The 25465-nt window shown below is 61.2% G+C and overlaps 1 protein-coding gene across 52 annotated transcripts in view, besides 5 other annotated features; it reads left to right on the plus strand.

Moving 5' to 3' along the window:
* BAIAP2 (BAR/IMD domain containing adaptor protein 2) overlaps nucleotides 1-25465 on the plus strand; it is an 82284-nt gene that overhangs the window by 37256 nt on the left and 19563 nt on the right. For 31 of the 52 annotated variants that reach the window (NR_169579.1, NR_169574.1, XM_011524193.2 and 28 more), the window contains 3 exons: nucleotides 12426-12487; nucleotides 13248-13319; nucleotides 14037-14174. Coding sequence is in view for 39 of the 52 variants with exons in the window: in XM_011524193.2 (XP_011522495.1) it covers nucleotides 12426-12487; nucleotides 13248-13319; nucleotides 14037-14174 (272 nt within the window). In the remaining 13 variants the exon portion in view is untranslated. The other 21 variants (XM_017024018.2, NM_001385151.1, NM_001385154.1 and 18 more) reach the window with 9 other exon arrangements.
* Nucleotides 17325-17826: an enhancer, noted in NCBI's record as "H3K27ac-H3K4me1 hESC enhancer chr17:79063531-79064032 (GRCh37/hg19 assembly coordinates)". NCBI's record gives its function as "activates a minimal SCP1, AML or CMV promoter by ChIP-STARR-seq in naive H9 embryonic stem cells {active_cell/tissue: H9 hESC(naive)}" and the evidence as "EXISTENCE:reporter gene assay evidence [ECO:0000049][PMID:30033119]".
* Nucleotides 20662-21552: an enhancer, noted in NCBI's record as "H3K4me1 hESC enhancer chr17:79066868-79067758 (GRCh37/hg19 assembly coordinates)". NCBI's record gives its function as "activates a minimal SCP1, AML or CMV promoter by ChIP-STARR-seq in primed H9 embryonic stem cells {active_cell/tissue: H9 hESC(primed)}" and the evidence as "EXISTENCE:reporter gene assay evidence [ECO:0000049][PMID:30033119]".
* Nucleotides 22423-22717: an enhancer, noted in NCBI's record as "tiled region #8367; K562 Activating non-DNase unmatched - State 5:Enh". NCBI's record gives its function as "activates a minimal TATA promoter and a strong SV40 promoter by Sharpr-MPRA in K562 cells {active_cell/tissue: K562}" and the evidence as "EXISTENCE:reporter gene assay evidence [ECO:0000049][PMID:27701403]".
* Nucleotides 23335-24224: an enhancer, noted in NCBI's record as "H3K27ac-H3K4me1 hESC enhancer chr17:79069541-79070430 (GRCh37/hg19 assembly coordinates)". NCBI's record gives its function as "activates a minimal SCP1, AML or CMV promoter by ChIP-STARR-seq in primed H9 embryonic stem cells {active_cell/tissue: H9 hESC(primed)}" and the evidence as "EXISTENCE:reporter gene assay evidence [ECO:0000049][PMID:30033119]".
* Nucleotides 24225-25114: an enhancer, noted in NCBI's record as "H3K27ac-H3K4me1 hESC enhancer chr17:79070431-79071320 (GRCh37/hg19 assembly coordinates)". NCBI's record gives its function as "activates a minimal SCP1, AML or CMV promoter by ChIP-STARR-seq in primed H9 embryonic stem cells {active_cell/tissue: H9 hESC(primed)}" and the evidence as "EXISTENCE:reporter gene assay evidence [ECO:0000049][PMID:30033119]".

Raw genomic sequence — 25465 nt, forward strand, 5'->3', positions numbered from 1 at the left:
TTCTCAGGGTCCAGTGGAAAACTCTCCTGCCCTGTTTGACGCCCACACTCGTCAGTTTCACCTTGGTGCCAAGAGCAGACGATCTGCTCCAGGCCCCACTTGGGCCACAGCCTCACAGCCGTCTCCACGTCCCCACCCGAACCTGGCATTTCCTGAATTCCTGGCCCCTGTCCGAGAAGGAGGCTAACCCTCCTGGGAGAGCTCTGGCAGGTGCTGACCCAAGTCCGTGGGGTCTTCAACCTTTGCAGACACCTGCGCCCAGAGGCCACGCCTCCCACTCTGAGCACAGGCGGGCGGACGCTGTCTGGCAGGCTCTGCCTTTCTTTCATTTTTCCTGACCTCTTCGCCCAGCGTCCTCTGCTTGGAGGTGGGTGTATGAGAAGGGGCCATTGGTGTCAGAGTGGGGCTGTCTGCTGAGCAGGTGAACACACCCCCAGTCCTTGCTCTGGGGCCGGGCTGTCCCGTGGGCCTCACGGACCTCATTGTCTGTGGTCATGAGCCTGCATCTTACTGATTTAATCCCGGGTGCCGGGTACAAACATGCACGCTTCCCTGATGAGAAAATGGCATCTGGCCTGGAGCCCCTTCCCACAGCCCTGGGTATTGGGTGCCTGTCACCTCCAGGATGACCCCCAGCCAGCAGACAGGTAGCAGGTGGAGGGTACCTGCTCTGGGGCCCTGGTGGCCCCAGTGGGTTGAAGCTCTCTTCGTAGGTGGCGTGGGGCCTTCTGTCCCCATGACCCTCCAGCGGCCCCTCCCCATGCCAGGGCTCAGCACCCCTGCTCCTCAGAGATCGAAGCCTCCTTCTCGGACCTTCCCCACCACTGTGGTCCCAGCTTCCTGTGCAGTCTCTTGGTTACCCAGGAGTTCAGAACTTTTACCACCTGGGGTGCCTTTCAGATACTCGGACCTCTTGGTTTGTAGGAGTACCAGGCCGGGGTGGGGAGGTGGAGGCTGTGCTGCTCCCCTCACCCTGGGCTCAGCCAGGGCCGCCAGCCTTCTTCCTGGGAGCAGTCACCAAGCTGGTCTCGGGCCGTGCTTTGGTAGAAATGATCTTTTAACTGACTAAGCAGAGTGTTAACTGAAATCATCATGAAATGCTGTTTATGCTCCATTTGGGATTCGGAGTCAAGCATTTGGGGACCCTCGGGCAGGGTCTGAGCTGCTGTTTGCCCTCGCAGATGAGGACGACGATCTGCACAGATCTGCCTCCAACCCTGGGCTGAGAGCATCCGAGGCCCAGGCTCTTCCCTCCCCCAGTCTTTTTCACTGTCTCTGAGATTCACGCTCTCTCTCAGGTTCTTGTCACTCGCAGACTATAAGAACACGTTGTATTTTCTGGAGTAAAAAAAGGCACAAATCTTTAAAATGTCACTGTTGTGAAAGCCGAAGTGTGAGGGGCTCTTCTAGGTTAAAGGACTAAAGATGCCCAGCGCCCCAGAGGAAGGGTGAGAGTCCTCTGGGAGCTGGCAGGCGCCAGTTCCTTGTCGCTCACGGTTAAGCCCGTGTATCACTTATTTGTCTCAAGTGCTTATGGAGCAGTCTTCCAATAGGTGGAATGCTGATTTGTTTTCCTAAAATGAGAGAGACTAAAGCCACGTGCCAACGCAACACAGCGGGACCCTTGATGAGAACCTGGATCAGGGAGGAGCTTGTCAATGGCATCGTCGGGCCATTCAGGAGCATGGTGTGTGCTGTTGATGAGAGGAGGATGCGTCTGTGGTAACCTTCCTGTGTGTCACAATGGAGGCGTGATGAGGCAGAGAAGGTCCTTGCTCTTAGGACACAGCTGCAGTATTGGGGGCAGGGGCAGCATCACATTGTCTGATGTCTGCAGTTGAGTCTCAAGGGGCTGAAAAAAGTGCCTGTGTGTCTGTGTGCATGCATGGATACGTGTGAGTGCCGGTGTGTGTGCATGCACGGATACGTGTGAGTGTGCGTGCACTGGTACATGTGTCACTGTGTGTGCGTGCACGGATACGTGAGTGCTGGTGTGCGTGCATGGATGCGTGTGAGTACGTGTGTGTATGCACAAATACATGTGAGTGCCAGTGTGTGTGCATGCACGGATACATGTGAATGCCTGTGTCTGTGCGTGCATGGATGCGTACGAGTTGCCTGTGTGTGTGCACGTGCACAGATGTGTGAGTGCCTGTTCGTGTGCGTGCATGGATGTGTGAGTGCCTGTGTGTGCGTGCACGGATGCGTGAGTGCCTGTGTGCGTGCACGGATGCGTTGAGTGCCTCTGTGTCTGCGTGCACGGATGCGTATGAGTGCCTGTGTGTGTGCATGCACGGATGCGTGTCTGTGCGTCTGTGTGCGTGCACAGATGCGTGTGAGTGCCTGTGTGTGTGCACGGATGCATAAGTGCCTGTGTGTCTGTGTGCATGTACGGATGCGTGTGAGTGCATGTGGGTGTACCTATACATCACAGAAAGAGTGGTGAAGCGATTGTGGCAAAGCACACCGCCAGGGAACCTCGGCGAAGTGAATGGGTGTTTGCTCTGCTATCCCTGCAACTTCTCTCCAGGTTGGAAAGGTTGGGCTGGGAAGAGAATAATGTAGTTCTGTTTTCTAAACCACAGGGAAGAATGGGCTTGGCAAAGCCATGACTGACAGTGCTTTCTGTCTCCTTCACCTTCCCACTGTGTTGAGCCAGAGCCATTCGTGGGAACCCCTGGGTGTGGTTGTGAAGCCAGCCTCGGCTCAGCTCACCCACAGAGCTGTCTCCAGCCACATTTGCATTCCGGCTGTGCCCACATTTGGCATTGGGGGAAACTTCCTGGTGCCTGTGATTTCAAGCCGGCGGCCAGGTCTGCGCCTGTGCTGGGTCTGGGGCATCTTGTGGCACTTCCTTGCTGCCCTCTCTCTTCCGGGACCATCCTCACCTCCCTCCCCATCCCTTCCCCTGTGCTTCTGGTCTCCCCAGCCCTCCCAGTCTCCTGGGCTCAGCAGATGACCACCCAGGGCATCCCCGGTTTGGCCTCAATCTTTGAATCGTGTGAAGCGATCGGAAGGAGCTCGGCCGTCGCCTCAAGTGGGCCGCCTTCCGGTGGGCTCCCTTCCTGTGGGCCGCTTGCATGCCGTGCTGTCTTCAGGGATGAGCAGTTAATCCTTCTCGTTCATCTGCTCACTAGACGCGGCTGTGTCAGAGCAGTGCCTGCCTCCTTGTGGCCCTAACCTTGTGGGGTGCTCCTTTGAGAGCGTCCTGAGTGACCCTCTCCAAGGACCCTACCTCCACCTGTCCACCAGCCCTCCTTGCCTTTAACCCTTTCAGTGCTACGCGTATCACCACACTCCCTCTGTGCCCTTCTCCCCCAGGTAGGGGCCACTTAGAACACTATGGCAGCCTTTGGTGGGCCTCAAGTCCTGCTCCTCCCCTCCGTGGGCACATTGGGGCCCCCAGTACTGCCCAGCCTTTGCACTGGCCAGCCACAGGCTCCATATGAGGCCAGCTGGGCACTGCCATCTCTGTCCTGGCACGGAGGTTCTGCCAGGGTCTGTGTATACTTTTTTGGGTCTGCTGGGAATTTTTTTTTTTTTTTTGTAGTGGTGATGAATAAAATGCATAACGCAGAGAAGCAGAAGTGCCTGCACCCGGGTGTTCCCTCTTGCTAGTAATCCTGAGGTTTGGTAGAAGCCAGCTCCTGCTGGGGTCAGGGGCAGTGAGGCAGGGGCTCCCCAGAGTACAGCCTGAGAGGCCTGGCTGCTTGGCTGGGGGGAGTGCCGAGTCTCAGGTCCTGCCGGGAGGCACAGTCCTTCCAGAATCAATCCCTGTTACCATCTGCAGCTTAACTCATTTTAAGCTTAACCATCTGCAGCTTAACTCATTCTTGCTTTATCTTCCCTGTGGACCAGGTCTAGCCTGGGGCAGACAGGAGATGGCAGATGGACACCTGGGAGGGGCTCACTGAGCTCCGCCTCTCCATCAACGGAGGCCCCGTCTAGGTTGTGGAGGATGCTTGAGAGAGCCCTGATGTTCTGACCTCCCAAAAGGTCAAGGGTGCTGGCAGCCGGTGAGACGCCGCAGTTTGCTCTGCTCCCCGGGGCTGTGCTTGCCAGGAGACATTTCGGCTATAAGCAGGCGAGAATACCTCCAGAACACACATCAGGAAGACAGATGGTGTGCAGGTGGGGCTCAGGGCTGTCATCCCCTGAAGCTGCTTCTGAAAGAGCTGTTCTTGCAGCAGCACTGTTACAAAAGGCCACATGGGAAACAGCCCGCACCTCTCAGTGGATGCCGGCAGAAACGCCTCGTGTATCCATAGGGTGAAGTTGTATTCAACCACAAAGGACAGGCTGGGTGTGGCTCATACCTGTAATCCCAGCACTTTGGGAGTCCACTTGATCCCAGGAGTTCAAGACCAGCCTGGGCAACATAGTGAGACCCCATGTCTACAAAAGTATCTTAAAAATGATCTGGGCATGGTGGCACACCCCTGTAGTCCCAGCTCCTCGAGAGGCTGGGGCCGGAGGATCCCTCGAACCCAGGAGTTGGAGGCAGCAGTGAGCCATGATTGTGGCACTTCACTCCAGCCTGGTGACAGAGTGAGACCCCTGGCTCTAAAAAGACAAGAAGGAGACTCTGAGGCAGGCTGCACCATGGATGGAGCTTGAAGACATTGTGCCCAGGGAGAAAAGCCAAATGTAGAGGGTCATGTGTGATTGCAGTGATTGAAGTGTTGGGAATAGGCCGCTCCACAGAGATGCCGTGAGACTGGTTCCCGGAGCTAGGGGGCAACTCCTGGTGGGCGTGGGTTTCTCTTCGGGGTGATGAAAGTGTCCGGGCAGTCAGCTAGCTCAACTGGTGAGCGCATGATGCTGACGATGCCACAGTTGTGGACTCGATCCCCACACCGGCCACAGTCCCAATTTCTTAGCCGGGCATGGCAGCTCACGCCTGTAATCCCAGCACTTTGGGAGGACGGGGTGGGTGGATCACCTGAGGTCAGGAGTTTGAGACCAGCCTGGCCAACACGGTGAAACCCCCGTCCCTGCTAAAAATACAAAAATTAGCTGGGCGTGGTGGCGCACATCTGCAGTCCCAGCTACTCGGGAGGCTGAGGCAGGATAATCACTTGAACCCGGGAGGCGGAGGTTGCAGTGAGCCGAGATAGTGCCACTGTACTTCAGCCTGGGTGACAGAGACTCTGTCTCAAAAAAAAAAAAAAGTAAAAATGGTGAATTTTATGTTATGTGAATTTTTCTCAATTTTAAAAAAAGAGCCTAATGCTGGGAGGACGGATGCTTGGGCTTCCCGCCCGTCCTGAGGCTGGTGGTGCTGAGTATGCGGGTGGCTGTGGGAGCGGGTGCCGTCTCAGGTGCGAGCCAGACACCGTGGGTGCGGGTGCAGGTGTGGGTACCGTTTTGGGTGGGAGCCGGGCGCTGTGGGTGCAGGTTCCACCTCGGAGCTGGGTGCTGTGGGCACAGGTGCGGGTGCCATCTTGGGTGGGAGCCAGGCACTGTGGGTGCCAGTGCCATCTTAGATCTGGGCACTCTGGGTGCAGGTGCCATCTCGGAGCTGGATGCTGTGGGTGCGGGTGCCGTATTGGGTGGGAGCCGGACGCTGTGGGTGCAGGTTCCACCTCGGAGCTGGGTGCTGTGGGCACAGGTGCGGGTGCCATCTTGGGTGGGAGCCAGGCACTGTGGGTGCCAGTGCCATCTTAGATCTGGGCACTCTGGGTGCCGGTGCGGGTGTCGTCTTGGGTGGGAGCCGGGCACTGTGGGTGCAGGTGCCATCTCGGAGCTGGATGCTGTGGGTGCGGGTGCCGTATTGGGTGGGAGCCGGATGCTGTGGGTGCAGGTTCCACCTCGGAGCTGGGTGCTGTGGGTACGGGTGCCGTATTGGGTGGGAGCCAGGCGCTGTGGGTGCAGGTTCCACCTCGGAGCTGGATGCAGTGGGTGCGGGTGCCGTATTGGGTGGGAGCCGGGCGCTGTGGGTGCAGGTTCCACCTCGGAGCTGGGTGCTGTGGGTGCGGGTGCCGTATTGGGTGGGAGCCGGGCGCTGTGGGTGCAGGTGCCATCTCGGAGCTGGGTGCTATGGGTGCGGGTGCCGTATTGGGTGGGAGCCGGGCGCTGTGGGTGCAGGTGCCATCTCGGAGCTGGGTGCTGTGGTGCGGGTGCCGTATTGGGTGGGAGCCGGGCGCTGTGGGTGCAGGTGCCATCTCCGAGCTGGGTGCTGTGGGTGCGGGTGCCGTATTGGGTGGGAGCCGGGCTCTGTGGGTGCAGGTGCCATCTCCGAGCTGGGTGCTGTGGGTGCGGGTGCTGTCTCGGGTGGGAGCTGGGCGTGTTTGCGGCTGTTGGTGTCATCTCGGGTGGGAGCTGGGCGTCTGCCTTCCTGTACTGCAGCCTCCGCTCCTCTCTGGCTGTGCTCTCTGCTGCTCCAGGCTGGCAGCAGATCTTGAGGATGCAGCCTCTGGAAGCTCTCAGGGCTCCTGAGTTTTGGGGTGTTTGACCTCCAGCCTGCTCAGCCCCGAGTCACCTTTGAGCTGTGGGGGTGTCAGGTCTCTCCCCTGCAAAGTGGGGTGATAGTCCCATGCTGGTTGGGGTAAGACCTGGGGGGAGTGAGACCAGGCTCAGCCTGCAGGAGAGATGGAGGGCAGTTGTGGGGTCTCACCGATCTCTGCTGGGATTCCAGAAAGGAGCTGGGGACTCAGCAGATGGAAAGGGCCCTCTCCGCCAGGTGCTGCGCCCAAGCAGAACCAACCCGAGGACAGAAAGATGCTGGCCGGGCATGCCTGGGGCCTGGGTTCCTCAGCCTCACCTGACTCAGGTGCTGTTTTCCTTGCTGGGGAGCAGGGGCCCAGCCGGGGTCTTGAGGCAGCCCTGTCCCCATCAGCTGCGCTCAGACCTGTCCACAGGAGGCTGGGCTCCCTGGTCACAGGCAGTCCCGTGGAGCGGGTTTCACTCTTAGCCTGGCGACCGCCCCGTCTGAGGTGGAGGTAGAGCTGGTGGGGTGAGGCCCACGGTGACCCCAGTGTGGACCGGCTGCTGCTTCACTCATCACGGTGCATTGGTAGGTGGTTGAAAAGAGAGAGGCCTCGTTTTCAGGATGACTGTGTAGACACATCACCCGTGACACCCATGTGTGCCCCCTTTCTAGCCCTCCGATGCTCCTCCTCCTCCTCACTCCCCAGCATCCCTAGGCAGCCCTGGGCTGGTGGGGTGAGCTGCCCAGAGTTGGCTGACCCATCAGCCTGGGTGCAACGCTGCTGCACTCCCACACCTACATCCTGAGGCGTGGCCACCTGCTTTCCATCACCCCCAACACCCCAGATCCCCGGATCCTTCTGATGGCGACGGCTCTGCCGGTCTGTTCTGGCTCATGTGCTGTGTGCCCTGGCCCGCTGGCACTCAGCTTACATTTGAACCTCGTCTTTAGAGTTAAGGTCCCACCTGTGCTGTGGACCAGACGTGGGCCTCCCAGTGAGTGGGGGGCATCTGATAGGTGAGGCTGCTTAGGAAGCCTGGCACACCCTGTCCCTCAGCAGGGTGGGCCTGGGTAAGTCTGCCCGCCGCATGGGAGGGAGTGTGGAGAGATGAAGAGATGAGGGAGCCCGAGAACGCATGGCCTCACGTCTCACCCCAAGGGAGGCTCTCAACGGCTGTGGAGCCCTCGCTACTCCGTCTTCAGGCCCCTGAAGGACACAGGCAACCGCGGACAAGACTTAGTTGCTCAGCGGAACTCACTGCCCCTACCGGTGCCTCTCACTGCTGATCTTAGGGTCTTGGCATTCCTTAGGGGCCTGGTGCTCCATGTGCCCCGTCCTTCCAGCTGGCACCTCGGGGGTTAAGCGCTGGTGGCTGCACACACTCATGCTCCCGGCTGGGGCGCCTGCGGCACCCTGGGGGTTAAGTGCTGGTGGCCGGACACATTCACACTCCATGCCCACGTGGTTTCCTGCAGCTGCCTGTAAGGTGCAGTTTAAAAATTCAAGGCATGGGATGATTTTGTGCAGCCGCCGCTCGAAGCTCAGGGCGGGCACACGCCTGGTCTGTGCAGCTTTGCCTGGACCTCCCCTGTGTGTGCGCCAGCCGCACATTGTGGGGCTGGGGGCTCGGGCTGGCGGGGATGCTGGGGTGCACATTTGAGTGCTGCAGCTGCACGGGCGGGTGGTGATGACCGTCACCTGGCCAGAACCCCCTGAGAAGCTCCACATACTCTTTTTCTTTTTGGATTCAGCAGTCCCTTTTTCAAAGGATTTGTTGTTGGCTGTTGTCTTCCAGATGTTCCTCTTGACTCCATTGTGTGTAGCCTTTTAGGGGAACACGTGCTTGTTATCTGGTCTTGACATTCACTTATAATTTGGGGCTGCAGAATGTGGCGGGAACCAGGCACGGTGCTGCATGCCTTTGCTCCCAGCTACTTGGGAGGCTGAGGTGGGAGGATCACAGAAACCTAGGAGTTGGAGACCAGCCTGGGTGACATAGTGAGACCCCATCTCAAAAAATAAAAAAAATGGGATATGGCAAGAGCCGTGAAGAGTTCAGCTGAGTTGTCTTGGGCCTTTTGCTTCACCTCTTTGTGAACTTGCTGGCCCCCACGCCAGGATAGGGGGCCGGCGACCTCGCAAAGGCTGGGTGCGTGTGGACACTCCGGGGCTGAGGGAGCACTGGCCAGGGCACAGGCTTGGGTGGGTTCCCCCTCTCAGGCCAGACCTTGTGCCTGTTGTCACCTGCCACCCCAACTCGGCTGAAGCCAGTTCCCAGTGTCCAAGGGGCCCGAGAGCTGGGAGGTGGATCCAGGATCCTCAGTCACAGGAACACCATGAAAACCGCAGGACAGTTCCCTGGAGGCTTCCTGAGCCCAGAGGTCGTGGTGTCCATCCTGGGAATTTATAGGATGCCAAAGAACGCCGAGAAGCACGAGGAGCCCTGGAGCTGCCTCCCCCGGGGTCCCACCGTCTCAGGCTTCCTGATCCTGCTCCTCAGCACAGGGCAGTCTGCCCCCGGCCTGAAGCTTCCTGCGTCTGCTGTCCTTGGCTCGTAGGATGGTGTCCTGCCAGGCTGGCAGCATCTTGGCCACCCAGGGTGGATGGTGGAGGGGCCACGTGGCTGTGGGCCTGTGCCAGCCCTAGCTGGGGTTCCCTCTCTTGTGGGGTCTGTGCTGCTGGCCGTGCTCCCGTCTCCTCCCCTGCCCTGGGCAGCGCCTGCTCACGTCCAAGTGGCTTCCCTTCAGCCAGGCTCCTTTATACCAAATTCTGTCCTCTTTGTCCTTGATCCCTTCCCTGCACACCTTGAACCCTAGGTCGAGTGAGCCTGGGGTAGGGCCCATGTCCTCTCCTGCCGAGGCTGGTAAACCTTAGACTTGCCCCCACCCCACCCGTCTGTGTGGTTTGCCGCTGATCCCCAGAGGTCTCGACTTCATCCCGACCGTGAGAGGCCACCGCAGTGGTGCAGCTCCCTCCTGACCGCAGTGCAGCCCCAGGGGGCCATCGCTGGGCCCTGCCCCACTCCACAGGGCCACACAGCAGGGACCAGGCAGTCACACCCATGGTTGGAGCCGGTGGAAGTGATTTCCAGGCAGGGGCAGGCCCCTGGGCCAGGGCTGGGGCTGGCATCCGTGGAGGTACTGGGTGTGCCAGGGCGCGTCTTAGGTGGTTTGTGTGTGGCAGGGCCTGGGCTCTGGGGTCTGTGTCTGCCTGTCCTGCTCCCTCCTGGCCCCGGGGCCAGCGTGGTCCTGGAGACTGATCCAGCATGACCTACCTGTCGTCCCCGTGAGCCCTGTGGTTGTGGCCAGAGTGGGTAGCGGCATCCAGGGCGGCTGTGAGAGTGGAGGGAGACTCGGGTCACGGCCAGGCACACACAGCCACACACACATGCTCACCCGCATAAGCACACCCGTGTACGGTTCACGCTTGTGCGTGCCCACTCACATAGGTAGACATGCACGCACATATGTGCTCATGCCCGCACACATATGTGATACCTCCCCGGGGTCTGCAGTGCTGCTTTCCTCACGCTGAATCCCTCTTCACGGTGGCCAGGCCCAGGCATGTCATCTTCGCAGGCAGAGGGTGAGCAACTGTGTGCCAGGCAGCCCTTCCGTATCTTCCCAGAAAGGGAAGCCAAGCCCGGGGCTCTGTGCGTCCCCCACCCCTGCCCTGCGGTGGATGGGATCCTGCCAGCCCTGGGCACTGTTCTCTGGAGAAGCAGCCAGGCCTAGCACTACTTTTAGCGGGACACGTGTCACAGGAGCCAGGTGACTGTCACCTCTGGGTCCCCTCAGGGGTGCATGAATCCCTTTCCTCTTCTCCCTCCACAGAAATCTGTGCCCCTGACACGGAGCGTTCGGCTTTGGGAACAGGCCTAGCAGTTGCCAGCATGAGGGCGGGAATGACTTGGGAGTCTGGGTGGCCAGGAGGTGCCTGAGATGCCTGGGATAGCTCGAGAGGCAGCCCTGTGTGTGCTGACCCGGGAGGAGGGCATGGCTGTGAGGTGGAGGCTGGCACAGGCGGTTGGGCCCTGGCTTTGCGGCCACTCACCAGCCGCTGACGTGGCCTACTCTGTCTGCTCATCTGGGCGGCCTTGTGGGTTGTGCTGATTAAAGGGAGGTACATCTGTGAAGCACCTGGCCCTGGTCAGTGCTCAGAGGGTCTGTGGTCATGGTGAGAAGAACCCCGCAGCTCCTGGAAGGGCGAGAGGACCCGGAGAGGCTTCCTCTGCCAGACTCAGCTGTGCTTTGAGGAGGGGAAGTGACCCAAGGCCAGCCCAGCCGTGGTCCTGGGAGGCAGCATCGCCCGGTTAGGGCTTCCTGCGTGTCACCGGGGGCCTTGCTCTGGTTTCTGGCTGAACTTGTTGGGCACTGGGCGATCCTAGTGGGGGTTCTGCTCGCTGGAGCGAGAGGACCCTCTGGGGCGTGGGACCGGCGGTGGCCTGGACGTCAGCAGAGGAGGAAAGTCCTGCTTCAGGCAGCCATTCAGGGAGGGACAGGAATCACCCGAGAGTGACCTGCCAGCAGCAGGGGCGGCCCTCCTGCTCTGTTTGTGTCCGCAGCACGTGGTCAGTGCCTGGCACTGGAAACAGTAGCTCAGCAAATATTTGTCCGTCAAAGGAGTACGGGGGCCGGACCACCCAGTTCCGGCCCCTCCTCTGCAGACCAGGAAATGGAGCCATTTGCCGCAGGGGTGGGTCTCTCGTACCAACTCCAGGGTTAGCGGGAGGACAGCCCTGAGGGGCTGTGGCATGCTTCTGTCCCATGTGGTGCTGATGGGGGGTGGGTCTCGGGCTCTGCTGATGAGTATCAGGGCTGGGTCCTGGAACCCAGGCTGGCTGCACTCTGGGGGCGCTTCTGGGGACGGCTAGCCAGCCCCCTGGGCTGATGGTGTGGTCGCACCTGCTGGCCTTGGCGGTCATGTCTCAAATGGGATCACAGCTCCGAGGGAGCTTTGGCAGAGGAAGGTGGGAAACATCTGGGTGAAAAGGAAGTGGGCCGTGCTCCTGTGTCTTCGAGGCCTCGGCCCCTCAGCTCCTCTCTCTGTGCCCCTCTCTTTGGTGGAAGCAGGTAGGGATGCAGCAATGTGGTGAGGCCCTTACAGAGTGGGGGACTCAGACCCACATCAGGGTAGCCCAGACACCTGCGCCCCTGGGGCTGCCCCCCCGCAGGTGGACTTGAGCCGGGTCTCGTTGATGTCCAGGCTGCAAAAGGCCTCTGACGGCGCTTACCCTGTGCCGCCACGATTTTGATTTCTTAATCTGCATTTTGCACACGGGCCGAGGAGACATCAGTGTCCCCAAGCGCTGCCCGTGTGTCCCCAGGGCCCTCAGCGATGGCAAGGCGAGCCCAGGCCAGCGTGCACCAGGGTGGCTGCCTGGTGAGCCTATCCCATGGGGCCAGGTCTCCTCAGACCACCGCGCTCCTCTGGGGCTCAAAGCGGAGATGTTGGGTGAAGGTCTCAGAGGTGCTGTGGGTCTGCAGCCTGGGTAGTGAGGTGTCTTGGAGTCAGAGAGGCTTGTGACCAGCGTGTGCCCATGGGTGTCCCCCAGAGGAGGTTTGTGCGCTGTGGTGTGGGGTCAGCAGACTGTCCACCTGGCCTGAGGTAGGAGGTTCGGAGCTCTTGGGTCTCTGCGAACGACAGCCGGATGCGTATGAGGACGCGTGTTTGCGCTCACTGTCACTCACTGTCACGCCTGGGGTGAAGCACACACGGGCTCTTCCTGTCTCTCGCCTTTGCAGAGACTCAAGTTCCCTCCCAAAGATGCCAGGCGTGCTGTGCATTTGAGGTCTGGAGTCCCTTCTCATTCTAGAATTTTCTGTTTCCTTTTGGTGTCCCCTCTCCGCCCTCCCTTCTGGCCCTGACACCCCGGGGGCCCTGCTGCCTGTGGTCACAGGGCTTCCCTGGGTGGCTGTCAGCCCAGAGTGGGATGACGGTGGTGACTGCGAGCACCTGACTCCCTCCCCTTCCTTCTGCTGTTCTGCTTCCCAGGAGACGTTCTCTTCCAGATGGCTGAAGTCCACAGGCAGATCCAGAATCAGCTGGAAGAAATGGTGAGTCCACCCCCAGCGTGGCCCTGCGAGGAGGGGCAGGTGCGACGGGAGAGCTGGCGCCACACCTTGGCCGTGTGTCCACTTGGGAACAGTCCCAGTTGTCCAGCCACACTCGGAGGCAGGGAGGGACCCTGGCTCAGCACACAAGCCACACTCGAAGGAGGACGTCGGAGAAAAGGGCACAGGCCAGACCGCGGCCGCATGTTTCACTGGCTGCAGTGGCAGCCATGACACGCTGGGCTCCAGGGAGAGTCCTGATCGCAGCCCCAGCCAGACCCCACTCCTGGGGTTCACAAGGTTGCAAGGCACACTTCCCCTGGCCTCTCCGACTGTAGGCAGAGGCAGACCCCACACAACCAGAGCACGTTGCTGGCGGCTGGTTTGCAGCATCCTGTCTAAAGCCAGGGGTCTGACCCTGGTGTCAGTTCAGGCCCATGGGCCCTGCGACCTCTCAGCCTGTGTCGCAGTGATCCCCAGCATGGGACAGCAGAGGAAGGAGGGGATGGCCGTTTGTTTCCCTTGTGGCTGTTTGGAGGCGAGATTGTCCGACGTTCCAGACTCCTGTTCAGCACTCGCTCCTGGCTCCAGAGGGTGCACACGGGCATGCGGGGCCACAGCTCATCAGTCAGGGGGAGGGGGCCCCTCCTGCACAGCCGGGACACCCGGTGTCTCGTGCCCATCCGCTCTAGCCCTGCCCTGCCTCCTGTTCCGGGTCCATGTGTTGGAGCTGACGGCTGATGTGTTTTCTCTCCATGTCCAGCTGAAGTCTTTTCACAACGAGCTGCTTACGCAGCTGGAGCAGAAGGTGGAGCTGGACTCCAGGTATCTGAGTGTAAGTGCACCCTGGCCGTGCCTGCTGGGCCCTGTGCCTGGGCTCCGGCTCTCCCAAATGCCTGCCACTCCTTCCTCGGCCTGAAGGCTTCCCACTTCCCCGAGCTCCCCGTCCACATGGGCCCCAGCTCTGACTTTATTGTCCATTTGGGACCGAGTGCCCCTGGTGTGCCCCAAATGCAACCTGTGGGTGAATCCGTTGCCTCTGACGCCCCACATGCCTGGTTCCATGCCCCGGCTTTGGCCACTTGCGGTGAAGCTGGTGCCTGACTCTGCTGCCGGGGAGTGCAGGAGCTCCTTCTCTGGCCTCTGCAGTTCCCTGGGCTCTCGGCCCGTCCTGCCCCACCGCCACTCCTGTCCGCTGGCAGGAAGGCTTGGGGCTGAGGCACTGCTTGAGGGTTTGAGGGTCACCTCTGGCTCTCAGTGGTGGGCGGGAGGGGTGGGCCTCGGCCACTTTTTCCAAGTGTGATTTTCATCTTGGGCGACCAGAGAGCTGCTATGGGGTTGGGTGGGGTCGGGCTGAGGCTTCATTTGGGCTCTCCCCAACTCTGATTTGCAGCTGAGCATGCACGGCCAGAGAGCGAGCCAGGAAGGGAGTGGCAGGGCTGGCAAGGGGACCCCGTTGCGTTGGGCTCATGGGCCTCGGTTTTGCTGCCAGTGGTCCGCGCTGCGTTGGGTTCATGGGCCTTGGTTTTGTGTTTTATTGTTTGAATCTCAGGCTGCGCTGAAGAAATACCAGACTGAGCAAAGGAGCAAAGGCGACGCCCTGGACAAGTGTCAGGCTGAGCTGAAGAAGCTTCGGAAGAAGAGCCAGGGCAGCAAGAATCCTCAGAAGTACTCGGACAAGGAGCTGCAGGTAGGCCCGCCACCCCCGCTGTGGTGCCTCTCCTGCCACCTTGGGACTGCTCACCCCTCGGCCCCCCTCGTCCACAGGGAGTGGACAGCAGCCCCCCAGGTGCGATCAGACAGAGGCAGGCTGTGTGTCCCTGGTAGACCTCGGGAGCGGTGGGCCTGACGCCCCCAGGCCGGTGGGATGGTCGGCTCACCTGTGGGGCTCTGTCCTGCTCTTGCAGCCTCCCAGGGTCACTGAAAGGTTCTTGGCTGAAGGAGCAGAAACCTAAATGGAGTCCTCCCCTCTGTTCTCCCCATCCCTGCCCGGGAGTCCGGTCCCAGTTTGTTCCTCTAAGCGGTCGTGGCCTCCGCCTGCAGGGCTGGCCACTCGAGGGAAGGTGGTACTTCAGGTTCCTCGAGGGAGCGGCTTCGGTGTTGTTTCTCTCACCGTCCCGCCGGCGTCACCGGTGCTGCGTGCTGAGTGGGCTGGGACGTAGGAAGGCCTGGCCGATGACAGGCACGGCCTGATGTGTGTACACCAGAACCTGGATGGTGGCTGACACAGGCCAGACCCAGAAACCCCTCGCCCACTTGCTGGGGTCATAGTGATACAGAAGAGAAAGAAACACAAAACAAGATGCCCAGTCGTGTGTAAAGGAAACATCAGGAAAACCCCTGGCCAGTCACCCAGGTAGAAGCTTCTGGGCTGCACCCTGGGGTGGGCAAGGTGTGGCTGTGGGTGAAGCCCGGGCCTCCAGGCCGCACCCTTCCTGCTGGCAGTCAGGTTTTCAAGCCTTGGCAAGCCCCGCACACACCTGCCCGTGTGCGTGTGTCTGCGTGTGTGTGTGCGACCGTCTCCTTGGTGCCGGATGTGGGTGCTCATGAGTGGCTGTGGCCTCGCCCTGGGACTGGGAGGCCGGTTCCTGCTCAGAGCCTGTGCCCCCGCTCCCTGCTTAACTGCAGGGAAGCCAAGCAGGTCTGCCCACACCCTGCAGACCAAGCCAGAAGATTTCCAGTGTGGGGTCGCCTGGTGGAGCTGGATCGGCCCCAAAGGAGAGGACGGGACTAGGCCAGGGGCAGATGAGAAGGATAAGTGAGAGTCTGTGGAAACAGCCATACGGGGGAGCTGGGGGTCCCTCGGGTGCCCGCTGCTGTTTGCAGCCTCCCACTCAGGCATGCTTGGTGCACAGTTGCAGGGACGCAACTCAGGCCGTTCTCTAGGGTGCCCTGCCCTCTCCAGCCACCTCTTCCCGTGTCCCCAGCCTTTGTTTTGATCCTGTTTTTCACTCCAGGTAAGCTGTGATGGGTCTTTTGATCCTTTCCGTTTTGCACTCCGGGTAAGCTGCCATCATGGGTCTTTCTATGATGGGCCCATCATGGTGGCCTTAGTATTCCTGCCTGAGGCTGCTGCAGCGAGCCGTCCTCAAGCTGTTTCTGTGAACAGAACCTGAGCAGTGGGCATGGGGAGTTGAGGAGGAGAAATAGGTATATGTTGGTAGACACTGTGTCTGTTTTTCTTCTTCCTCCCACCGTGGAACGTTTTGCTACTTTGCTTTCTGAAGACAAGCAGCGGACGGCACCCCTGCGGCCTGGAGGGCCATAGCCGCCTCCGAGCAGGTCAGGACAGTGCAGGTGTGAGCCAGCCCTGAGCACCGAGGCCAGGTGTGAGAGCTTGTCTTAAGGGGGACTTTCCTGGGAATGTCCCCAGCTTGGTGTTCTGGGGATGGGGATACTGAGGCCAGTTCACTGAGGGCTCAGCTGCCTGCTGGGGGTCCAGGAGCTTGAGCTCCCTTCTGCCCTCGAGGCTCTGTGGGTTTTTGCTAACAGCGTTTTTGAGATATAATTCACATCACCAGCAGTTCACCATTTCACGGGCACAGTCCAGTGGTTATGAGTGTTTGCAGCTGTGTGTCCATCACTCAGTCCGTTTTAGAGCATTTTTCAATCAGCAGTCACTCCTGGGCCCCTGGCCCCACCAGTCACCAGCCTGCCATTGGCCTCCGTAGACTTGCCTGTTATGGACATTCTGCGTAGCTGGAATCCCACAGTGTCCGGCCTTTGGTGCCTGGTGGCTCACGTGGCACGGAGGGTTCTTAAAGCTCATCGTGCCGTAGCCTGCGCCAGCCTCCTCCCCTCTTACTGTCGGGGGTCAGCCTTTCTTCCTTTTCATGGCTAAATCGTGTTCCATCGTGTGGGTACCGGAGGCTCCATCCTGCTCAGGGCCAGGGCCGTCTCCCTGGCACGGCCGGTACTGCCCTGTGGCTGAGCTCGCTGGGAGCTGGAGATCGCGGCGGGGTAGCATAGGGCCGGACAAAGGCAGAGGCTGGGGGCTGTCGGAGCCACTCCCCCTCCCTCCTGCAGGCTGGAGCCAGAGGCCTGAGGCCCCCACGCAGTCACTGTGGCCCTGCCGCACCAGCTCCCTGGTTTTCAGGTGCCCTGCCTCCCACTGCCAGGCCTCTTCAGGAGGGCCCTGACCGCACACCTGGCCTCTGCCTGCCCTCCGCGCTGCTCTGCCGTGGGCCCCGGGTGGTGGGATTTACTCCCGAGGCTGTGTGTGCACAGCTAGCTCCTCAAGCCCATCCCACACAGGGGTTTTGGAAGACCTTCTCCTTGCTGATGGCTGGTCTGTCTGTTTGCTGCATGTCCTGGCACTTTTGAGGTCTGTTGGGGGACCATGTTGGTGCCTCAGGGGCCCTGGAGGCAGGTCCCATCTGTTCTTCTCATGGGGGCTGTGAGCCACCTCCAGTGCCTCGGTGGACCCTTCGTTGACTGGCCCAAGGGTCACCTGATTCGCAGCCACAGGGGGCTGGACCTGGCGGTGACTCGAGGGGCCTTGGCCCTGCCTCAGTGCTGTGGTCCACGGTCTGGGCAAGGGGCCGCTGCTGGGTGCCCCAGGGGCTGACTGAACCATTTGGCAACAGAACTAAGGTGGCTGGTGGCTGGGCCCGTCCTGGGGCCCCTTGAGTGCCCTTTCGTGGTAAGCCAGGTGACCCAGTTTTGGGAGTAAGCCACAGCACCTGTTTCCCAACGGCTGCCACAGTCGTCACAAAGCCCCCCTCGTCCGCAGGAGGGCAGGCGGAGGGGGAGAGGGAGGGGGTCGTGGCCTTACAGGCTGTCTGCGTCCTGATGGGCCAGACCCCGGAGCCCGGCAGGGTCAGGAATGAGGGCAGCATTCCCATCTGTGGCTGCTAGTTGCCGAGGCAAATGGTCCCCCTAGCACCTGTGAGTGGGTCTGGGCGGGGACCATGTGGGCGGAGAGGGCAGGCAGGGCCCCGAAGCGCATGGTAGGTGGAGGTTGCAGTGGGTGTGAGGTGAGGGTGGCCCAGCAGCCCCCTTGGAAAGGCCTCTGCCACCCGGTACAGAGACGCTTGGCGAGCCTCATCTTCTCGGCCTCCCAGGGCCCCTCCTGGGAGATGTGTGGTGCTGGTCTTTCTTCCCAGGTCCCAGGGGCCCTGCTGTGGCTCCCCAGCCCTGGCTGAGCAGCCTCCTTTCTCTAGAACTTGCAGCTGCTCCTCCCCACTCACCAGGGGACCTGTGGGTGGCCCCAGGCTGGACTGTCCCCACCTGGGCACAGCCTCAAGGCCCTGGTGTCAGGCTTAGGCTTGGATCTGGCTCTGTCCCTTATGGGTCATGTGGCCGCAGCAAGCCCCAGAGCTTCTCTGAGCCTCAGTTTCCCCATTTGTGAGGGGGAATATCCTGGCTTTCTCCCTCTTCTGAGCACTGACGGGAAGGGCTGTAGAGCCAGGATGAGCCGACATCAACCTTCTCACGGTGCCTGCGTGGGGGCTCTCCTGGACGGACCTCCGCCTCTGCTCCTCCCCATCCGCCTCCTTCCTCTGTCAATGGGAGACGGGGCTTCAACTCTTAACCACACAGGTGTTTTATTTTTGTGGTTTTTCCCAAGTCACCGAGTTTCTTCAGGAAGGGCTAGGTCTCATTTCTCCTGCGTCCCACTTGGTGCCAAGCACAAGCTGGTCACGCAGCAGATAGCTAGTAAGTGCTAAGTGGTTTCGAAACAACATTTTGGGGTGGGAAACAGAGGGAGCCACACCCCGGTGTGCTTTCTGCTCCCCAGTGGCCTGGAAGCCCAGGAGGCCAGGCCTCGGAGCCGTCAGCATCCCCAGCCCCACATCGGAGTTTGAGGGGGTGGGGCACTTGGTATGTGGCTGCGTACGCGCCCCCCGAGCTGCGGGGAGGCTGCGGCCACCATCCTGGGGTGAGTGCCATGTGGCTGCCTGGCTGGGATGTGCTGCCGGCCTCGCTGCTCCAGGCCCCTTGCCCCACCCAGGGCTGTTCCTGCTGGTTCCCATTGCCTTTGCAAACCCGGCCAGCGGGCTCTGTGGGACTTCTACTTTAGGGTGTGGCCGCTGGGGGCCCAGCTGTTGCATGTCCTCTCCACTTCTGAAGAGAGGAAGCACCCTGGGCTGGGGAACTGGGCTGGCTGGCCCCGCCTACTCATGTGCAGCCCCGCCCCTCCAGTGCATTCCACCCCGCCCCCACTTGTGTGGACCCGCCCCCACTTGTGTGCCCCGACTTGTGTGGTGCAGGAGGCCCTGCCCTTGCTTGTGTGGCCCCACCCCTTGGTGCAGGAGGCCCCGTCCCTCCAGTGCACCCCACCCCCATTTATGTGGCCCCACCCCACCCCACCCCACCCCACAGGCCTCCTAGCTGTCCCTAACTCCTGGCTTGCCTCGCGGGGTCTACTGTCCTGGGGCCTAGGTTGTCAGCGAAGTCCTGCTGGTTGCAGGGAAAGGGCCTGCTGGAAGTACTCTTGGGGGAAGCAGAGACCTCTTCACCGGCCTCTCCATTCCTAAAGCGGTTGGTTGCTTCCCAGCTGTTCTACAGACCAGCCCAGCAGCTGCACCCTATGCTGGGGGCAGCCCGGGGGTGTCTACGCAGAGAGTATAGTTCACGGTGCCCCCTTGAGATCCCTGCCTCGGTCCCTGGACCTGCCTGCCCCCAGCTCTTCTAGCTGTCTCCAGTGTATGCCCTGTGGGGTCACTGGCGACCATAGCAGTTGTCCCCAATCCTGAAGACCCTGAGAGAGGCAGGTGTGCCCACACGTCGTTGGAGTGCAGGGCAGGAGTCTGGCCCATTCGGGCTCCTGGGGCTGCTTTCTTGAGCGGGCAGGAGGGGGCTGCCGGACTGCCGGAAGTGGAAGTGACCCCACGCAAGGGTGGCCTGAAGCCAGTGTCCAGCCAGGGGCGTGAGTAGCAGAGAAGCAGATGCCTCCCTGCGGTTCCCAAGCTGCCCCTGCCACAGAGGCCTTTCCCTTGGAGACCCTTTAGTGCCTCTGGGGTCTCTGGCCCTGCATGTCCCTCACCTGGCAGCCTAGAGCTGGCCGGGGCCTGGCTGGTGGTGCAGCCATGTGGGTGGTGCATGCAGGTGGAGGCTGTTCAGGCAGCTCCACGGGCTGGACGGGCGCCCCCATCTACAGGGCCCCCCACCTCAGCTGCCGCTGATGAAGGGGAGGTGGTGGCTGGTGCCTGACTCTGGTCTTTGGGGGTGTAGCATGCTGTGTCATTGTCAGATGTGGGTTCCCTCAGCGACCCAAGAGCTGGGTGTCTCGAAGTGATTGCCGGGGTCTCCAGTGGGCTCAGAAACCTGGCGCCAGCTGCACCCCACCTGAGCTGCATGTATGCGGAGCACCAGGCTCCTGGGAGCTGTGAGGCTGCTGGGCAGCGAGGCTGGGCCCATGGCACGTGTGAGGGGCGGCTTCATGCTCCAGGGTGCCTACGAGGCCGAGGCCCCCGATGCGCACTGCCCGCCTCCACTGCCGGGCTCATTGTGTGGCAGCGGCCAGGCCTTCAGCCTGAGCTGAAACAGGGACACACCACACCAGGCCCTGGGGGCAGAGGTGGGGCTGCAGGGAGGGGTGGGCGTGAGGTTGGCCAGGCCCTGCCCCAGAGAGGCAGGCAGAGTGGATTTCTCTGTCTGCCTGCCAGGGTGCCCTTGAGCGGGGCTGGGCCCGGGGGCCTCCTGTTGTTCAAGAACTGCTTGTAATTGAGATGGTGTTTTGGGATTTCCATGAAAAGAAGTAATTTTAGTTATAGGTCAGGGCACTGGGGCTAGGAAGCATTTGGGGTGTTTGTTAACTAGGACGGGAGAGCTTTACGTAAGGGGCCCGGCCCGGAGCACCGCCCTGACGGCCTTGGGCAGCGGCACCTTCACTCCCCAGGACCGTGGTCGTTGCCACATTTGCTGGGCCAGGTGCTGACAGACGTGCCCGTCTGCCTGGAGGGAATGTTCTCCACACCACGCGGGGCACGGTGGACATGCTGGGGCAGGGGACACCTTCTCTGTGGGTTTATCAGTGTGTCCGCGGGGCGTGGTCACAGCCTGGTCCAGCTCCTCCTTAGAACAGAGGGGTGTGGCTGTGTCCACAGGGCCCGGAATGGGGCTGAGAGCAGAGCCCAGCCTGTGCCCACCGCTCGGGGGCAGGGAGCAGGGCCCGGGGGACGTGTCCACATGCCCCATCCTGCATCTGGAACCCAGGGTGGGAGGCGAGTGGCCCACCCACTCCCTGGGCTGGGCTGGGCTGGGCTGGGCTGGGCTGGGCTGGGCTGGGCTGGGCTGTGGGCACGAGGACCTGAGTGTGAGGAGGGAGCCCCGGCCCGCTGGATGCAACTTGTCCTTCCTAACCCATGTGCACTGAGGGTGGGGCAGCCGGGCCCCTGCTCAGAATCGCACTGGGCATGGGCTCGACTTGCTGGCCCTGGGACGACCCTGCTCAGCCAGCTCTGGAGGCTTCCTCAGCGGCCTGAAACTCCTGCTGCAGAGGAGGGTAGCATTGCCCTGTCCACTCACCACCTCCTGGGGCTTTTCTGGACAGAGATGCCCGGGGCTACAAGGAGAGCCAGGGTTTCTGCTGGGTTACCTTCCCCTGTTCCCTTTCTGAGATGATGGGGGAGGAGGGAGGTGAGGCAGGTGCAGCCCTCGCTGGCCGGTCGTGAGTGAGGAGGGAGAGATGGCCCCGCATCCCTGGGGATGCTGCCTCCCAGAGACCATGGGGGCTCCGTAGCACCGGCAGGATCATCGTGGGGGTCCTGGGAAGCGGCACTGGTGCTCTGCTCACTGTAATGCAGGGGGCTGGTGGGGGGCATTGGTGCCCCCAGGATCCCCCCTCCGGCTGCCCCCCATCTCTGGGTGTGCGAGGCCTATAGCCTGGATTGAGGTCTGAGAAAGGGGAGAGATGCGTGCTATTTAAAGGGTGTATAATTAACACAGCAGAGACAAAGCACCCTCGTTCAGATCTTCAGAGAAGATAATAGCAGGGCCGGTGATCGCCAGCGTGGAGTCTGGCGACGTGCGGGGGGTGTGAAGCCCATCCTCGTTTTCACAAAGCTCTTCAGGCTAAGGCTGTCTGTGGACAACCCCTCCCCCCCACCACCCCCGTGAGGACAGCCGTGTGGCCATGTTTCTCTGGAGTAACATCTCTGAGGGGTCCTGACCAGGAAAAACAGGAGTGTGAGGAGCCAGGAGCCACGGAGCCCTCTCAGGGCTTCTGCATCCGCAGCTGACACAGGGACCCTCAGTGTCCCCGGGGCCAGGGCAGCCAGGGGTCGGGCACTCTGCTTCCCCAAGCCTCAGGGCTGGGCCACTCGAACATCTTAGCCCCCACTTCTCCTGCATCTTGCCAACCCTTTGCTGGCTCTTGGGGACAGCTTGGTCTGTGATCCTCTAGCCTGTTTGTGTGTCTAGCCCACTGGTGTGGACAGAAGCGACCTGCTGTCTCCTGTGCCCGTGGGCATGTGCTCACCAGACTGTCCATCCCAATACCAAGCTGTGGGTCTGTTGGGACCTGTTGTTCCTGGGCACCCCTTGCCAATCTGCTGAAAGCTCTGGGCCTTTTTCCCAGGAAAATGGGGACCGTCAGGGCTCATGGATCCCTGATCCTGCCAAAGTGGCACTGTTCCCTTCCTGAGGATCTTCCTGTAATGCCTTCCTTGGGGAGCGGAATGACCAGCTCTTCCACCTGCCACCGGGGCCAGAGGGTGCGGCTTACCCTCTGCTCAGCCCAGCCCGGGTCTTGCTCAGAGCACGTGTGTTCAGCGTGAGATTTAAGGGTCCTCCCATCTCCTTTTAACCACCTGCCATGCTGCCCTCCCTCCTCTGCCTGGGTACCGTGCCCATCAGCCTGGGAGGCCTGGTCAGTGGGTTTTAGAGCAGCCACTGGCTGCAGCCTGCAGGTGGCCAGTGACCATGTGCTACTTGGGGCACCTGATTCTCACCCCACACACCACAGCTGACCGGTCCGCAGCCGCATCCTTTCGAGTAAGTGTTACCCATGGTGACAGCTGAAGGCCAAGAATTACGTTCTCATTCATATGCTGCAGGGGACCTGGGGGGTTAAAGAACGTGGGAAAGCTGCAGCAGCCGTGGCGGATGAGGTAAACCAAAGCCGCCTTGGTTTTTTCTGGAATGCCCCTCCCCCACTCTGAGTCACCGCATGCTGCGGAGAGGAGAGATGTGTTCTGATCACTTTTGTCTTCTCTGATCACGGGGCTGTTCAGCCCAGGGTGACTAAGTGGGAGCATTCTGTGGGTCTTAAATGCTTTCAGCTGGGTGTTTCCATAGTGCTGTCGCCATGGCACCCAGCTAAGCACGCAGCCGGTGGCTCAGCGGCGGGCGGGGACTGGAGGGGGCCAGCCACTGGGACTGCCTGCCCATGGGGCAGGCTCAGGGCCGTTGTAAATGGCCGGGCTGCCAGGTAGGAGGTACAGACCAGGCCGTGCTCTGTCCCCTGCACTTTCCACACAGCTCGGACGTGCCCCGTATAGGTCATCCCCGTCCAACAGCAGGTCACAGTTGGCCGGGCCCTGCAGTGCTGGCCGCCACCTCCTCTCCTCCCCGTCCCCGCACCGGCCCCTTGTGTGGTGAAGCTCCTGCCTGGCCTAGATTTCCAGGATCTGCCCTGTACAGTCGTGGCCTCTCTGTATGAGGAGTCAGTGTCCTGGAACAGCAGGTGAGGAGAGGCAGCTGTCATTCCTAGACAGAGTGGCAGCCGCATGTCATGCGCTGACTCAGGCTCTGCCATAGCCAGATGCTCATGTGGGGGCTCCAAGGCAGGAGGTGTCAGCTCCCCCCGTCCTTCGGGGGCTGGCCATCCCTGCCTTGCTGCTCTGGGAACATCTCTCCTCCCTGTCCCCAGGATCTGGAGGGGCCCCGCCAGAGCACCGTGCAGCCGTACTTTCTGTCTCTCCCCCGACTTCCCCTGGGTTTCTCTTGTGACCTGTGTGCCACTCCCAGCCATTTACGGGGCTCCTTTGAGTAAGTGGAAGACTTAAAAATAAAACACCAACTCTCTTCCCGGCCAGGGAGGCTGCCGTACCCTGCTAATGAGGCCAGTACCCCTCGCTGTACTCTCCCCTGGGGAACTGAGCATGAGCGTGAGAAAGTACCGTAGCCTAAAAACCCAGAAACCGCCTGTAGGGTGGGCAACCGGAGCAGCTCCAGGGGCCTTAGTTTGGAAGGTGCCGTTCTCAGGGTGAGGAGACCCAGGGGGCCCTGCAGCCTAGTTTACACTGCTGTCCTGGGGTGACCACTCCAAGCAGCACCTTCTCTTCCCCCGAGTCCTATTCAGACAGCAACCAGTGTGGAGGCCGTGGCTCTGGGCAGCCCCCTGGGCCTGCCTTTTCTCAGTGCCTCAGTTTCTTTTGCCAGGCGTTGGATCTCCTGCTGAGTGCTCTCTGGCCCTGAGCTCTCTGCCCACCATGCTTTCCGGGCCGGCCACCGCTGGAAAAGTCCCCAGGGAGGGCACAGAATCCTCATGATGGGGTGCGTTGGGGGTTTCTCCATGGAACCTCACACACATTCCTGAGGCTGCCCCACTTAAGGGATTCTGGGCACCGAATAGCTCCCTCCAAAGCAGGCACCCCCATCACAGGCCACTCAGAGCCTGGAGGCGCACCCCAGCATCCCTGGCAGTTCCCTGCGGGAGGAGCGGGGCAGGACCCTGCAGGCGGCCTTGGAACAGGCCTGGGTGTTGGTCTGAGTGGTGTTGCAGGGGCATGGGTGGGTGCTCATCTCCAGGCCCCTCCTTGTGCACAAGCCCACTTGTTTCTCGGAGCACACCCTCCCCACCCAGTCCCTTTGATCCTGAAGGTCAGGAAAGGAGTCCAGCAGCCAGGCTGAGGCTGGAGCACAGCGGGCTCAGGTGTCCTCCTCCATGGCTGCAGTATGTGGCGTCCTGGCCACGGCCATCATGCCCTCCCCAGGCCCCAGGGTACCCCTGAATCTGGCTGTCGCACTCTACCCCTTCCTGGAGAAGGAGCCTCAGAGGTCACTGGAGGTTCTTGGGAGCAGGAGCAGGAAGCCCTGGTAGGTGCATGTTGCATAACCAGAGGAAAAGTACTTCGCGCTCCAGCTGTGGAGGAGGAGGAGGTGGAGGAGAAAGTAGAGGAGGAGAAGAAGGAGAAAGGAGAGGAGGAGGAGGAGGAGGCAGCGGCAGTGGGGGTGGCGGCAGAGGCCTCAGCATGGAGCAGAGCTTGCTGGAAAGTCTGCTTAAGGTTGCCTTGCAGGGCCTCTCACCTGTGATCAAACTTCTCACTTCCTAAATGCCATCTCAGGTCCCCTTTAGGTGACCCTGTGGCCAGGCCCTACAGCGCCTCTGGAGGGTCAAGGCCTACTGGGGATAGGAGTAGCAAGCCCGTTGTTTTGAGGGGCAGGTGGGGTTTAGTGTGGGAAAGCAGGGTGGGCTGCAAGGGCAGGGGAGCGCCGGGCTCCGTGTTGGGGGATGTGGCTGGGCAGGCTCTGGCCTTGGGGACAGCATGGTCTGCTCACACTGGCCAGCAGGCAGAGCCAGTGCCCGGTGGTAGTGCTGGGACCGACCCACACCCTGCCAGGCTGGTTCTCACCCCTGTAGTGGAGGCTTGCGGGGGTAGGCAGCCAGGGAACAGGCTGCTCCGCTCCCCTCCCCGCCGCCCACCCGGCCCGGCACTGCCCACCCACGCTGAGTCAGAGCTGTAGGCGGGGCGGCCGCGAGGCTGAGTCAGGCAGGGGAGGCCGCCCCCTTGCGGAGGCCGCATCTTCTTAAGAGCCGATTCTGAACTGACCACTCCTTGACGGGCAATCCCGGTGGACGGGGGGTCTGAGTCCTGCTGTGGAGGGTCTGCCTGAGGCCGGTAGGGGCTCAGCCCAAGGTAGGTAGGCACAGGAGGAGAGGCGAGACAGAGGAGAGCTGGAAAGACCTTCCTGGCAGAGGAGAAGCTGGCTCCCTGCTGAAGCAGCTAGCCTCCTGCGGCCTCCCAGGAGGGGCCTGGGTGTGTCCCTGGGGACAGGGTCTGTGCCTCGGGTGCTCCTCCCTTGCCCTCACCA

This window comes from Homo sapiens, chromosome 17, assembly GCF_000001405.40.
Source record: "Homo sapiens chromosome 17, GRCh38.p14 Primary Assembly".
NCBI classification, from domain to species: domain Eukaryota; kingdom Metazoa; phylum Chordata; class Mammalia; order Primates; family Hominidae; genus Homo; species Homo sapiens.